The sequence below is a fragment of the Homo sapiens genome, chromosome 12, assembly GCF_000001405.40.
Source record: "Homo sapiens chromosome 12, GRCh38.p14 Primary Assembly".
NCBI lineage: Eukaryota > Metazoa > Chordata > Mammalia > Primates > Hominidae > Homo > Homo sapiens.
Genome location: NC_000012.12, coordinates 5,745,437 through 5,761,406, shown reverse-complemented (window position 1 = coordinate 5,761,406; position 15,970 = coordinate 5,745,437). Strand labels below are relative to the sequence as shown.

At 38.7% G+C, this 15,970-nt stretch overlaps 1 protein-coding gene across 3 annotated transcripts in view; it reads left to right on the top strand.

The window, feature by feature from the left end:
* ANO2 (anoctamin 2) overlaps positions 1-15,970 on the top strand; it is a 383,578-nt gene that overhangs the window by 184,826 nt on the left and 182,782 nt on the right. For all 3 annotated transcript variants that reach the window (NM_001278597.3, NM_001364791.2, NM_001278596.3), the window contains one exon: positions 10,437-10,571. In NM_001278597.3, the coding sequence (NP_001265526.1) occupies positions 10,437-10,571 (135 nt within the window). The remainder of the gene's footprint in view (positions 1-10,436; positions 10,572-15,970) is intronic.

Sequence of the window (15,970 nt, the reverse complement as noted above, 5' to 3'; positions counted from 1 at the left end):
AAATTGCCATTTGCCCTTGCTAAGTAATCTTATGGGGGATGTGGACTAAATTTGGGGTATAGGACTTTTTATAGCAGTTGATATTTAAAATAAAGAGCCTTTTTCCCCCTTTCTTCTTTTTTTTAGTCTCATATGGGTGTAGACATTGTTTTAGTTAACTCCTTAGATATTTACATTTCAGAGACGTAGTAAGATTTACAATTCCAAGGGACTGGAAGAAAATGTAGGTTTTCTCTAAGAAGGAGTTTTGGATGAGTATTTGCTTATTAGAGATCTAGGGTAACTTTTAAAGCTTTTTTTCTCTTTAAGTGTAGGACAGTCTACGGAATTTTTTTTTTTTTTTTTTTTGCTGTGGGGGTCCAAAATTTGGGACGTCCTGGAGCTGATGAAGTTTTACTACAGAGCCCCACGGAAGTAAGAGGAGTTGTAAGGTAGAGCAGAGCCTGCCAGGCTGCAAGTCCCCTGAATCCGTGTTCGACTGATTTCCTGGCTGTCAACTTTTACACAAGTAACCTGTATGCCTGGAGATCAGGCAAGAGTGCTTTTTGTAAATCTTGCAGGGAAGTTAAAGCGAGCAGTTGAACGTTTAAAGGATTTTCTGGGAAAGTTGGAGGAGTTTTAGGTGTTAAAGGAATCTGTTGAGGGGATGGGACCAGATTTTGAGGAGAGGGTTAAGTTTAAGCTAGGGGTCCAGATATCCAGAAGACCTTCTGGAGGGCCAGGGACAGGGAATTGGAGATAAAGGGAGGTTAGAAGTAGGTGGAGAAGGAGGAATTATAGTGGATGTGTAATTTGGCTTTTGTTCTAATTTCTATTCTTTACATCTTTTTTAAGGAAACCCCTAAAAGCTAGCAGTTACACTCTTCTGTGTCCTCTTTTCAATTAGATCTTACCATAGGTACCATTAAGATAGTTGTTTGGGATGAGAGCTCTCTAAAAAAATTTCTTTTTAAAATATAAAAGTTGAAATAAGATTCTATTCACTGTTCTTACTCTTTAGTCCTTCCATTAAGGTGGACAGAGCTCTCATTTCCCTCTTGTGTTTTATCTCACAGGCTTTTGAGAAATGAAATATATTGCTCCTTGGTAGATTGCATTTTTCTCCTCAGACATCCATAATTAATATTATCTAAGGGGAAATTGCTTTTTAGAGGCTTAACTGGTAATTTACAAACTTTATAAACTTGGAATAAAAAATATAATGAATTGGTAAATTTTGTTTTCAAAAGAAATCGATTTTAATTTTAAAAGTGATTTATTAACAAAGTAGAAACATTTAAAATACAGAAAGAAATGCAGAAATAATGGTGATGGTGTTTCAGAAATGGTGATTGAGAAAGCATACTTTAAGTAGTGAATTGCCTTTTAAAGGAATTAATAGCAAAAATATCTCTTACTTGTCATTGTTTTCACCATTTCCGGTACTCTCTATTTCATTGTGTAGATCCAAATTTCTACTGAGATTATATTCCTTTTGCCCAAAGATCTTTCTTTAACATTTCTTACAGTTCACATTTGCTGGTAATAAATTCTCTTGGCTTTTACTCCCTAAAATAGACATTGTTTTGCCTTCATTTTTGAAAGATATTTAATTTATATATAGTACTCTAAGTTAATAGTTTTTTTTCTTTCCATACTTTAAGGCAGCAGTCCGCAACCTTTTTGGCACCAGGGATCAGTTTCGTGGAAGATAATTTTTCCACAGGCTGGGGACAGTGGGAGAATAGTTTTGGGATGAAATTGTTCTACCTCAGATCATCAGGCATTAGATTCTCATAAGAAGTGTGCATCCTAGATCCCTCCCATGCGCAGTTCACAATAGGGTTCATGCTCCTTTGAGAATCTAATGCTGCTGCTGATCTGATAGGAAGCAGAGCTCAGGCAGTAATGATGGTTCACTCTGCTGCTCACCTCCTGCTGTGTGGCCTGGTTCCTAACTGGACATGGACAGGTACCAGTCTGTGGTCTGGGGGTTGGGGACCCCTGCTCTAAGGTGTCACTTTATTAACTTTTGGCTTGCATAGTTTCTGCCAAAAAATTGGTTATAAATCCTATATAATGACTTTGATCTTCTGTTGTATCTGATTTCCTTCCCCCACAAGCTTAATTAAAATTTTTCTCTTTCAATCTTTGGTTTTCGGAAATTTGACTATGACGTATCTAAGTATGTGGGGTTTCATTTTTGTTTTTGTATTTATTCTTCATGGGTTCTCTGAACATTGTTGATTTGTGTTTTGTTGTTTTTTTTTTTTTTGTAACTTTTGGAAAATTCTTAGCCATAACATATTTAAATATTCTTCTCTGTTCTTTCTTTTATCCTTTTGGAACTCTAATTACATGTGTGATAGATCCTTTGATATTGTCCTGCAGCTCTCGAATGCTAGATTTGTTTTTCCTCACTCTTTTTTCCCTTTGTATTTTCTTTTGATACATCTTTTGTAGTAGATTCTGCTTTAATCTATTAATTAGAGTTATTTAAAAATCCCTATTGCATCATTCTGACATCTGAATCAAGCTTAGCTTCATTGATTGCCTTATTTCCTGACAATGGGATTTTATTTTATTTTATTTGTTTATTGAATGCCATACATTGTGTATAAAATGACAGTGGAAACTGAGGTAAGTAGTATTATGCCTACATGCCTCTTCCATTCCATCAGGTCAGTAGTGAGGAGAGTTGAGTCAATCTAGTTGAGTGAGGTTTTGTTGTTGCAAGAGTCACCTTCAGTGCACTGCACTACAAACTTCAGATTCCTTCAGTGATAGTACGCTATTACCTTATGCTTTGTGTGAGCCCTGGAGTGCTGAATTGGTCCTCATTGTTTCTTTACCACTCTCAGATTTCAGCAGTCCCTGCATGCCTGTGCCACAATGGGGTATTTCTCCATGCCCCTCCCGCTCCCCTAGAATCAGGCTGTTGATGTTTGTTGCTCAGTGATAAATGGAGCTTATCACTTGTTTACTATAAGTGGGGCTGTGGAGGGAAATAGGGCAGTTTTGTTCTCATGCCTATCTCAGTCTTAGGCAGGCTCTGTGCACTCAAGCCTCAGAAATGACGGTTTCTTAGAATTCATGTCCTCCCTCTGCCCCTCACAATTAAACTCTGTCCTTTACTGGTACAGATTCTTGGGTGGGAGACAGTTTCCTGCCCTTCCTCAGCAGTAACAGACTTCTAATTTGTAATTTTGCAGAATCTCGGGCCTAGGAGAGTTTCCACCCTTTCCACCAAGTACCATCGGCTGTATGTGCAACCCATCTCGGGCTTCAGAAGCAGTGGGTCTTTGCCTAGGTCCTTGGGTCAGGTCCCTTCTTCCGTTTAAGGCTTTCGATTTGAATAAGAGAAGATTCCAGGAAGTGCATGGTTTTTCATACCTGTGTGCAACTTAAGGGGACTGACTCTCTTTGGTCTCTTACCTTACCCATTATCTTCCTTATGAGGTCTATGGAAATGACCTTGTGCATAAGGGCAAACTGCTCTTGTGTTTGAAGCTTCCAGTTATTACACTCTGTCATGCTAACTTATACTCATCTTTCTGAATTTTTAAAATTTTAGCTATTTCTTCTTACTTTTACAGGGACTATCGCATCCTCCCATTCTCTGTCAAATGTAAAACTATTCACATATCCCAGTTTTCCCTGGACGGACTTGGCATTTAAAAAAAATTCAGTTCTCCTGGTTACCTTACAACTTCAGCTCTCTGATGAGCTCAAGCAAAGTTATAATTTCACAGATTATCCAGATTTCTCTTGTTGTTAGGCTGGGAACTATATTCTCTTGCAATTGTCTGCATCATAAGTGGAAGCAGAACCTGTGGTGGTGGGTAAATAGATCCTATTCACTGTTCTTCTTACCCTTTAGTTCTTCTATCAATGTGTGGACAGAGCTCTCATTTCCCTCTTGTGTTTTACGTCACAGGCTTTTGGGAAATTAAATATATTGCTCCTTGGTAGATTGTACTTTTCTCATCAGGCATCCATAGTCAATATTTATCTAAGGGGAAATTGTATTTTAGAGGCTTAACTGGTAATTTACAAACTTTATAAACTTGTAATAAAAATATATGAGTTGGTAAATTTTCTTTTTACAAGAAATCACTTTTCATTCTAAAAGTAATTTATTAACAAAGTAGAAAAATTTTAAGTGCAGAAAGATAGAAATAAAGAAATACAGTGACATCAGCAAGATGGCAAAATAGAAAGTCCCCAGGCCTCACCCTTCTACTGAAACACCTGTTTAGCAACCATCTATATACAAAATAGACCTTTATGAGAGCTCTGGTTTTCAGGTAAGAGGTTGCAGAACCCTGGTGGAGCTCAAGACCTAGAAAAACTTCACTGAGAATGCAGGCTCATGCTTTCTGGCAGCAGAACCACCAGCCATGGGCCTGGAAGCAGCCTTGCTCACTTGAACACCTAGTGACAGCACTGCCTGTTCACTGCTCATAAGGAACTCTGCCCATATACAGACCCTACAGGAAGCTGGCTTCCCATGTCCCCAATGGCATGACCACTTCCACAGAGCAGGGGACTTGGTGACAGACCCACCCACTTTCCCACAGACCCAGGGGCAGCCCTGCTCATCTGCCCGTGGACCCATCAGCAAACTTGACTGCTCATGGAAACCAAATGCAGCCCTACTCTCATGCAGATCTCAACAGAATCTCTGTCTGTGGCGCAGCAGCCCAGTCCTCTAGTGGACCTTGGAAGCAGGCCCACCTGCCCACATACCCAGCAGCAGGCCAGCCCACCCACAGACTCTGGCAACAGGCCCACCCACGGACCATGGCAGCAGATCCACCCTTGGACCCCACCCAGCTTAAGTCTGCCCGCAGGCACTGCCTGCTTACTCTGGCAGCTGATCCACCCATAATCTCTGACCAGCATGACTGATGAAGGTCTTTGCCTGCTGAAAGCAGTCAGTAAGAACTGGAAGAGGTGACTACTTCTCAAATACACAGACACCACTCTAAGGCTACAAGGATCACAAAGAATCAGGAATTCTCGATACTACCTTATTAGGAGCTGAAAAAGACTCCAGTAACTTACCCTAAATAAATTGATATCCATAATCTGCTTGACAAAGAACTCAAAATAATTGTCTTAAATGAGCTGCAAGAGAACAGACAGCTAAACACAATTAGGAGTATAACATGTCAACAAAATCAGAAGTTCAACAAACATATAGAAATAATAAAAAAGAGCCAAAGTGAAATCCTAGAACTGAAGAATACAATGACTGAACTAAAAAACTTAATACAGAACTTCAGTAGCATACTTGGTCAAGCAGAAGAAAGAATCATTGTACTTAAAGACAAGTCATTTGAAATTATCCAGTCGGAAGAACAGAAAAAACAGAAAGGTTGAAAAGTGAAGAAAGCCTAAGATCTTATGGGACACCATAGAGTGAACCAATATATGCATTCTGGGAGACTCAGAAGGAGACTAAAGAAAGAAAAAGAGGAAGAAAGCTTATTAAGGGAATAATTGCTAAAAACTTTCCAAATCTAGGAAGAGAAATGAACATCCAAATTCATGAAGTCTCAATGTACCCAAGTACATTGAACCCAAAGAGGTTAACACTGAGTCACCTTAAAATTGAATTTGATGGACTGGATTAAGAAAATGTGGCACATATACACCATGGAATACTATGCAGCCATACAAAATGATGAGTTCATGTCCTTTGTAGGGACATGGATGAAGCTGGAAACCATCATTCTCAGCAACCTATCAGAAGGACAAAAAACCAAACACCGCATGTTCTCACTCATTGGTGGGAATTGAACAATGAGAACACATGAACACAGGAAGGGGAACATCACACACCAGGGCCTGTTGTGGGGTGGGGAGAGGGGGGAGGGATAGCATTAAGAGATATACCTAATGTAAATGACGAGTTAATGGGTGCAGCACACGAACATGGCACATGTATACATACGTAACAAACCTGCACGTTGTGCACATGTACCCTAGAACTTAAAGTATAATAAAAATATAAATAAATAAATAAATAAATAAAATAAATAAAAATAAATAAATGTAAAAAAGAAAAAAATTGAATTCTCAAAAGTCAAGTAGAGAATTTTGAAAGCAACAAGAAAAAAGTGACTTATCACAAACAAGGGAACCATTATAAGGCTACTAGTGGACTTCTCAGCAGAAACCTTGCAGGTGAGGAGAGAGTAGGATGATATATTCAAAGTATTGAAATTTAAAAAACCTGCCAATCAAGAGTACTATATCTAGGTCAAAGAATAAATCAAAAAAGGAAATTAGAAAATATCTCAAGACAAATGAAAATGAAAGCACAACATATTAAAACTTATGAGAGGCAGCAAAAGCAATACTAAAAGGAAGTTTATAGTGGTAAATGGCTACATTTAAGAAGAAGAAAGATCTCAAATAATTAATTTTACATCTCAAGTAACTACAAAAGAAGAAAAAACTAAGCCCAAAATTAGCAGGAGGGAAGAAATAATATAGATTAGGGGATAAATAAATATAAGACAGGATATGAAAACAGAAAAACAAAAAATTGATGAAGCTAAGAGTTTGTTGACGAATCCTTAGTTAGACTAATGAAAAGGAAAGAAGTTGCAAATAAATAAAATTAGAAATGAAGGATGAGACTTTGCACCTGATGTTACAGAAATAAAAAGGAATTATTATGAACAATTATACACCAACAAATTGGACAATCTAGAATAAATGGATAAATGCTTAGAACCATATAATCAACAAGATTGAATCAAGGATAAATAGGAAGCCTGTACAGACCAATGACAAATAAGTAGATTCAAGCAATAATTGAAAACAAACAAACAAAATGAAACAAAACAAAACTCTCAGCAAAGAAAAGCCCAGGAACAGATAGTTTCATGGATGAATCCTTCCAAACATTCAAAGAAAAATTAATACCAATACTTCTTAAAGTCTTCCAAAAAACAGGAAAAGAGGAGAGACTTACAAATTCTTCCTGAGGCAAGCACCACCCTGATACCAAATCCAGACAGAGACACTACAAGAAGAGAACTATAGGTCAACATCCCTGATGAACGTAGATGCAAAACTATTCAACAAAATAGTAGTAAATCAAACTCAGCAGCACTTTAAAAGGATCAGACACCATGACCAAGAAGGGTTTTTTTCCTTGGGATACAAGGATGGTTCAACATATGCAAATCAATAAATGAAGATAAAAATCACATGAACATCTCAATAGATGGAGAAAAAAAATGGACAAAAGTCAGCACTGTTTCACGATTTAAAATTCTCAACAAATTAAAAATAGAAAGAACTTACAGCTCAACAAGTTAGGAATGGAAGGAACATGACTGTCAATGAATTAGGAATAGAAGGAACTAACATCAACACAATAGAAGTCATTCATGAAAATCTCATGGCTAACATCATATTCAATAGTAAAAAAAGTTTTTTTTCTAAGATCTGGAATAAGGCAAAAATGCCCATTCTTACCTCTCACATTCAACGTGGTATTTCTAGCAAGAGCAATTAGTCAAGAAAAAGAAATAAAAGCTATCAAATTGGAAAGGAAGAAGTAAAATTGCCTTAGTTTCCAGATGACATGATCTCATATGCAGAAAACCCTAAAGACTCTACCAAAAAACTTTTAGAAATAATAAATTCAGTATAGTTGCAGGATACTAAATCAACCTGCAAAAATCATTTTCATTTCTGTGCACTAACAACCTATCTAAAAAGAAAACTAAGAAGAAAAGTACCATTCACAATAGCACCAAAAAGAATAAAATACCTAGGAATAAGTTTAACTAAGAGGGTGAAAGATTTGCACATTGAAAACTATAAAACGTTGATAAAAGAAATTAAAGAGGATATAAATAAAAGGAAGGTGTGAAAGGAAAATAAAAACTTGGGACCCCAATTCACTCTGCCAAAATGAAAAAATTAAGCTGAAAGCTGAGTGATGCAAGAAGCTGCCCTCCCTTTTGTTCCTAAGCAGACAGCTACAGATAAAAGGCTAAATATCTCCACAGGCAGCTGCTCTATGTTCACCTTATATTAAGTGCCGATTTGCTGAGCACAAGATGAATACTTAATTGACTATTCTGCTACCTGCTCATTTTCTCCTGCAACATGTGGATGACCATACCATACCCTCCCTCTTTCCCCTCCAGCCCACTAGCCCAATATTTCCCCTTTAAATATTGAAGCCCTTAAATTCATCTTTGGAGAAAGGCACCGATGAATATTGAAACCCTTAAATTCATCTTTGGAGGAAGGCACAGACCACAGACTGTTTCTGTGACTCTGTGTTTTTTTCTTCCAGGCATGTCCTTAACCTTAGCAAAATAAACTTCTAAATTGATTGAGACCTGTCTCAGAATAAGTTTTGGTTTACAAAGTATACCTTGTGTTCATGGAGCTGAAGAATCAATATTGTTAAACTGTTCATACTACTTACTCTTCAATAAATGATATTGGGAAAACTGGATATCCACATGCATGAGAATGAAGTTGGACCCTTATTTTATACCATACAAAAACCCAACTTAAAATGGATTAAAGACTTAAATGTAAAACCTGAAACAATAGAACTCTTAAAAGAAAACAGGGGAAAAAAGCTTCTACACATTGGACTTGGATATGGCACAGAAAGCACAAGCAACAAAAGCAAAAATAGACAAATGGGAATATATCAAACTAAAATGCTTCTACACAGCAAAGGAAACAATCAACAGAGTGAAAGTCAATATGCAGAATGGGAGAAAATATTTGCAAACCATATATCTGGTAAGGGATTAATATCCAACATGTATAAGGAACTTCTACAATTCAGTGGCAAAACAAAGAAACACACAAAAAACCAAATAGCCTGATAAAAAAATTAAGTAAAGGACCTAAATAGACATTTCACCAAAGAAGACATACAAATGACCAACAGGTATAGGAGAAAGTGTTTAATGTCACAATTCATCAGGGAAATGCAAATCAAAACCACAGTGAGATATCACTTCACACTTATTAGAATGCTATTGTCCAACAACAAAAGATAAAAAGTGTTGGTGCAGATGTGGAGAAAAGGGAACCCTTGTTCACTGTTGGTGGCAATGCGGTCACTGTGGAAAACAGTATGGAGGTTCCTCAAAAAATTAAAATATAATTACCATTTGATTCAACAGTCTCCCTTTTGGATGTATATCTTAAGGAATTAAAGTCAACATCCTGAGGAGATGTCTGCACTCCTATATTCATAGCAGCATTATTCACAATTGCCAGAAGGTATAAGCCACCCAAGCATCCATTGACAGATGCATGGATAAAGAAAATGTGGACACACAATGGATATTATTCAGCCTTAAAAATAAGGAAATCCTGCCATTTGCTGCAACATGGATGGACCTGGAGGACGTTATGCTAAGTGAAATAAGCCAGGCACAGAAGCACAAATACTGCATGATCCCACCTCTATGAGGAATCTAAAACCGTCAAACTCATAGATCCAAAGAATAGAATAGTGGTTAACAGGGGCTGCAGAGAGGGGAAAATGAGGAGATATTGGTCAAAAGGTACAAAATTTCAGTTACACAATACATATATGCCCGGAGATCTACTGTATAATATAGAGCCTATAGTTAATGATACTGTATTGTATACTTAAAAATCTGCTAACAGGGTAGATCTCACATTAATTGCTCTTAACACAAGAGAAAATAATTTTTTAATTAAACAAAACAAGGGTGAGAGCAAAAGGAAACTTGGAGGTACTGGATAACTTTATGGAGTGATTGGTGATGTTCTCATGGGTGTATACTTATCTGCAAACTCATCAAGTTGTATATGTTCAACACGTACAGCTCTTTGTATGCCAACATACCTCAGTAAACTGGCTTAAAAATAAAGAAATAAAAACCACCCATAAGCCCATCATCCAAAGAAACCATTACTAATATTTTATTGGATTTCTTCTAGTCGTTTTTCAGTAAGTGTGTGTATGTTGGTTTGCATACCCAAGTATACATGCCCAAATATATGATCTGTGTGTTTTGTTTAAATAAGCTAGTTCCAAAAAGGTGTGTTTTCTTATGGGTTGAGTGCTATGGCACTTATGAAATGATGATGTGTTATTCATGTTTGGTAAAGGTGCCAAAATGTGTGGCATATTTTTAGTTTGCTGTTGGGGCTGGATTCTTTCTCTTGGCTAGCTATTTCACATGAACAGCCAAGACAGGTGTGTGAATGTGATTCCAATGGAATGCACGTCATTCCAGAAAAGCTCAGTTGTTGATTCTTTGTACTGAAGCCTCCCCTTCCCCGTGCAACCTCCATCCCTTTGTTTTCGTCACAAGAGGAATGAATATCTATGTTGACCCACCCTTAGGCATAGAACAAACAGAAATAAGGAAAGTATATGATGTTCTTAATATGTGTTTCATTTTCTTTTCTTTCTTTTCCAGAAAGTATTTTGGAGAAAAAATTGGACTGTATTTTGCCTGGCTGGGATTATATACATCATTCCTCATCCCATCTTCTGTAATTGGAGTGATTGTGTTTCTTTATGGATGTGCAACAATTGAAGAAGATATTCCCAGGTAAATCAGTTTTAAAGAAAAGGGCTCAGTTGCCATATGTTAATAATTTGGAGTTTCATCCCAGTACAAGTACATTTCACATGCCTCTTTCCAAAGCCCTCACCCTCTATCATTCTCCTTCGCTATGACACATGTAGCTTTCCTCCAGAGACAGATCTAGGAGCTACAGATTCTGGGAATGGCTTCAGAGCCATGCTAGGCGAGGCCTACTTCCTCTTCTAGTCAAGCTCTTCTCCAGGGCAGGGGGATGTGTCTGATGTGGGCAGGCAGATAATTCCTGGTAAGAAAAATCATGCCAGAGAAATACTTTTTTCCTCTCTCTCTCCACTTCATCACTTCTTTTACCTCTGGTTTCCCATAAGACCCAAGGCAAGGTGTGGGGAGTGACACTGAGTAGAAATCACATCTGTGTGGTCAGATGATGCTAGAATAAAGCAAGCTGAGAAAGCAAGCAGCTCTAATGCTGAGGAAGGCACAGCCTCTGTTTCAGGAAGTCAGAAACTGCAGGGAGGAATAGCCCCAAGGCGGGACTCTTGGAGCGCCAAGAGATAGAATCAAAGCTAGTTTTTATGAGGAAGAGAGAACCCACAAAGGAAATATGGGATGAGTATGGTGGCTCACACCTGTAATCCCAGTGCTTTGGGAGGCCAAGGAGGGAGTATTGTTGGAGCCCAGGAATTTGAGACCAGCCTGGGCAACACAGTGAGACCTCATCTCTAAAAAAAAAAAAAATTTAGCTGGGCTTGGTTTGGTGGCATGTACCTGTAGTCCCAGCTAATTGGGAGGCTGAGGCAGGAGAACTGCTTGAGCCCAGGAGCTTGAGCTTGCAGTGAGCTGTGATTGATTGTGCCACTGCACTCTAGCCTGGGCGAAAGAGCAAGACCCCTCTGAAAAAAAAAAAAAGGAAAAGGAAAGAAGCACTTAGACTGACAATGTTATATATTAGCCATGTGACTGGACAGTTTACTCCCTGAAGCTTAGTATTCTTGGCTGTAAAATGGTAATCGCGACGCCTAAGTCATAGTGTTGTAAGGATTAAAGGAGACTGTGTCTGGAACATAGCAGAAGATTAATAAATAATTGTTGAATAAATCAAAATATGTGGAAATAAAGTACAAGGAACAAAAGAGACACTTAGCTAATATTTAGAATTTAAACACTCTTGCCATCTTCAGAATTGTCTTTGCAAACTGAAGCATGGTTAGTATGTTTTAATATTCTTTTGGATGCAAGTGATAGAAATGCAGCTTGAACTAGATTAAGTGAAAAAGAAAATTTATTATAAGCATTCAAGGAGCACTGGAATAGGGACTCCATTTATCTCCTGCCTCTGACTCTTTCTAGCATTTGTTGGTTACACTACATATTTTCTCCATTTGGATTAAACATTGCTGCTAGTAGCTCATGGGTGTTACACCTTAGAGCTTTATACTCGATTGGTCTCAAGTGAAAAAGTACTATGACTCTGTTTGACTTAGGTGGAGGCCCCGGGCCAATTCATTGTGGCTAGGGGGCAGGATAGCTTTGTACCAACTTGATGTTCCCTCCATAGGCAGGTGGATGAGGACACTGGGCGGATCATTAGAGTTGGGGGTGGTAATGGGGAAAGTAGTGGCCATTCTGAAGAAAAAACCAGAAACTGTGCATTTTAGGAAGGGTATGCGTGCATCAGTGGGCAGAAACCTGCTTCCTGGCTCACCTGCTTCCTGCCTACTGGTGCATACTCTATAGAAATGGTCTCACAAATCAGATCACCTGGAGATGATGTTGTCAATATCTAGAATAAAACTAAATCAATGTCAATCTATGCAAATGGTTTGCAAATCAAATCAACTGAAGATTATATTGTCAATATCTAGAATAAAGCTAAATCACTTGATGTAAGAGACAAGAGTTTGGATTTTTTGGTATAAAACTCTAGTATCAATTGTCAAGTGTTTTGTTTTGTTTTTTTTTTTTTTTTTTGGAGGGTGAAGGGAAAAAGGAAGGGGGAGAGGGGAGGGAGGGAGGCCGAGGGCAAGTGCTCTTGATTGGGAGTTCTGGGTCCTTTATCACAGGAGATGGGTTATTAGGGCTGTGTTTTCCCCAGTGCATCTAGCATGAGGCATGAGGGAAGAGCTAATACTTATGAACTATCTACCTTGTGGGGGGCATAATGCTAGGTGATTGTTATAAACTAGTTTCTTTGATCCTGTAAGAGATCAATGTTATACACGCCGTAAACAGGCATTATTATTTCCACTGAACAGAGATTGAGAAACTTATGCTACATGAGGTCACATAAATTGTCCAATATCAACAACTAATAGTTGTCAGTGCTGGGAGTTGAACTCTGTTGCCTCCTGTTCCAAAGTCTTTGCTTTTTCTAATAAGCAGAGAAGTTTTCCGGAGGGCTCATATCCTCCTTCACAACTCAGTAGCTTCACGTGGGCTTGCCTGGGTGTGTTCTAAGAAAACATGGCTTTTGGGTTTCCCTTGCCAGTTGTGATCCCTAGACATCTGGCCTCAGGTTGACCAAGGGTGGAAAACCCCATACCGTGCCAGTGCAGTGGGTGGGGCACCAGTGGGCTGGTTTATATCAGGATTTAGAACTTGTGCCCCGGGTCCCCACATGGTAATACACGTGGCAGCAACCACTACAGCTGGAAAGGACGTGGTCTGCACATGCTGCAACGATAGACGTCTATGCACAGATGCACACAGCCCACGTTCACACACACTCATGCACGCGCACACAGATGTCTACACACAGACGCACACACCCACATTCACACACACTCATGCACGTGCAGATAGATGTCTGCACACAGATGCACGCAGCCACATTCACACACACTCATGCACGTGCACATAGATGTCTGCACACAGATGCACACAGCCACATTCACACACATTCTTGCATGTGCAGGGATATTCAAGTGTAAAATGCAGTCGTTACTGCGGATGTGTCACATTGCCTGTCAGAGTGGATGGTGTTCTACAACTGTGGATATGACAACAACCACTGGTGGGTTGTGGAATCAATTTAATGGGCTTTCAAGTGGACTAAAACAAGATGGGGTAAGATAAGCTAGAATGCAATAAATATTAGTATTCATTATAAGAAGGATGGGTAAGTGTTGCTTCATTAGATTTTGTTTCATTTTTATAAGTGTGTTTGTGAGAGTGAGGGTATGTATTTGCATACTGAAATCTGATGTAACAGATTGTTTTAACTGTAGGTCACAGTCAAAAACGTTTAAAATTACTACAAAATTGAGGTTTTGGATGTTGTTTTTTCAGACTCAGGATGGGGCCTGGCAAGTCAGGAAGGTGTAAATACTAGAAAAAAGTAAACATTTTAATAGATTTCTTTAAAAACAGAGGAACTGTTTTTTAAACATAATTGTAAATTCATCAGAAGTCCAACTTCTGTGGGTCTGATGGAAACTCAGAAAATGCCACTCCTTATAAACAAAGGGATATTCTCTAAAAACCAATATTGAATCTAAAGAAATGCATACTCTAAGGGTTTGTGTCTTTCAGCCACTCATAACTGTGATTAAAAACTTACAGTATTCCTGGGATTATTTTAGAGGTTGCTAATTTTGTCATCAAGCCTGAAATTCACTCTGTCTCACTTTTTAAAACCTTTTTATTTTGAAAAATTTTAGATTCACAGCGCAGGAACTTGCAAAGATAGTACAGAGGGGCCCAGCGTGCACTTCTTCTAGCTTCCTCCCGTGGTTTCGTCTTATGTAACTACGGCACAACATCAAAACCAGAAAACTGACATTGATGAGGTGGAGCTTTAAATGATACCTTTTATTCCCAGTAATTTAACTTTGATATGTGAGATATAAGCATAAGCCTGTAAGTAATACTTCCATGCGTGCATGATACCTCTATAGAACTTCCCTGTCTCTACTCACCAAGGGATTGATTTCATTTGTTAAGCACTTACATGAACAGAGAACACTAGGACATTTTTTAAAAAGCTGATTAATCTAAACCATATTGAAAAAAGATTGGTTACTTTAGGTCTGAGACCTTAATAGCAGCTGTTTAGTCTGAATTTCCTGAATGATTGCCTCTTTGTACCTTCTCCCGTTGTGCTAACAGGGCTCTGAATCACCTAATCCATGAGCAATGATTTACCCTGAAGAACATTGCTCACTTTAGGGTCTTGGTTCAATGGACTGTCAAGCCGTTTATCAAGCTTCTTAGGCTTTCTGGAGAAAATAATAAATCAAAGGAATACAGCATTGGATTTATAGCCACAGTTACTTCTCACTAGAAACCTGTGTATTGTACAGCTTAGTGAATACCCTAGACCTGATTTCCATTCTGGGCAGGCTTCCCTCATCTTTCAGCTTGTCTAGAGGCAGCCTCTCTCACAAAATACAAAGTCATTTCGATGTCATTCTTAGCCAGAATTCCTCTAGAATTCTGTTAAAATTGATTACATCAAAAACCCCCCAATACATATATAAAGCATTCTGACTTCACATTTAAATGATTTGAGGAGAATCCATACCATGGTGGCTGCCATCTTGTACAAATGATGGATAGTTGCCTGCACTCTAATTTAAAGACCAGCAATTTACACAGCACTTAGGTTTCAAAGTGCTTTGCACCCGCTTGGCTGCTAATACGTTTTTCATTCCTGACCTTTTAGCATTGACTAGTTCCAACTAGGATTCAGTTGACTAGGTTTCTGTCTCTCCTCAGTCCATGCTTAAAAGAAAAAACCGCTAAGTTAAATGAAGTCCCTAACACATATACTTGAAGAGCAGCATTGAGGAACTCATATGTTCTTGGACGTGACTTAAAAGCGAACGTCTTTTACTAGAATTTATACAGACAAGTGATTTTCTGTGTAAATCTGTTTTTTAAGGGGGTACTTTCCTCTCTGAAAATAGCAATTCCTTCTCAACTACATAGCAAACACAGGTCTGACCCAGAAGACATAAACTGGGCTCTCTAGTCACCCAGCAGAACATGCCCAGGTGAAACTAGCACAGCTGAATGTATTATTAAGATATGACTATTTAATATTTTCGACGTGGATGAGTCATTTTTATTGACCTTTGCCAGCGAGTCAGTGGAGGAACTGGGGTTTATCCTCAGGGACCGACAATTTCCATTCTCTCACACAGGAGGCCTTTCCTTCCTGTGGACTTAGTAGCTCATTAAAAACAGAAGCCTAGAAACTGGGGCTTGACAGCAAGTGGCAGCCCTCAGTAAATCTGCCACCCTTCAACTTCTTAATGAAGGGGGAAAGAGACCCAGGCATCCTTTGGCTTTGGAGGTTTCCTCTGAGCACTGGCTTTAGCACACAGGGCACCAGCTTGCTCTCCCTAGCAGTGGCTCCCACTTGTGAGCCATGCTCTCTAGCGCCCTCTGCTGCTTCTTTCTGT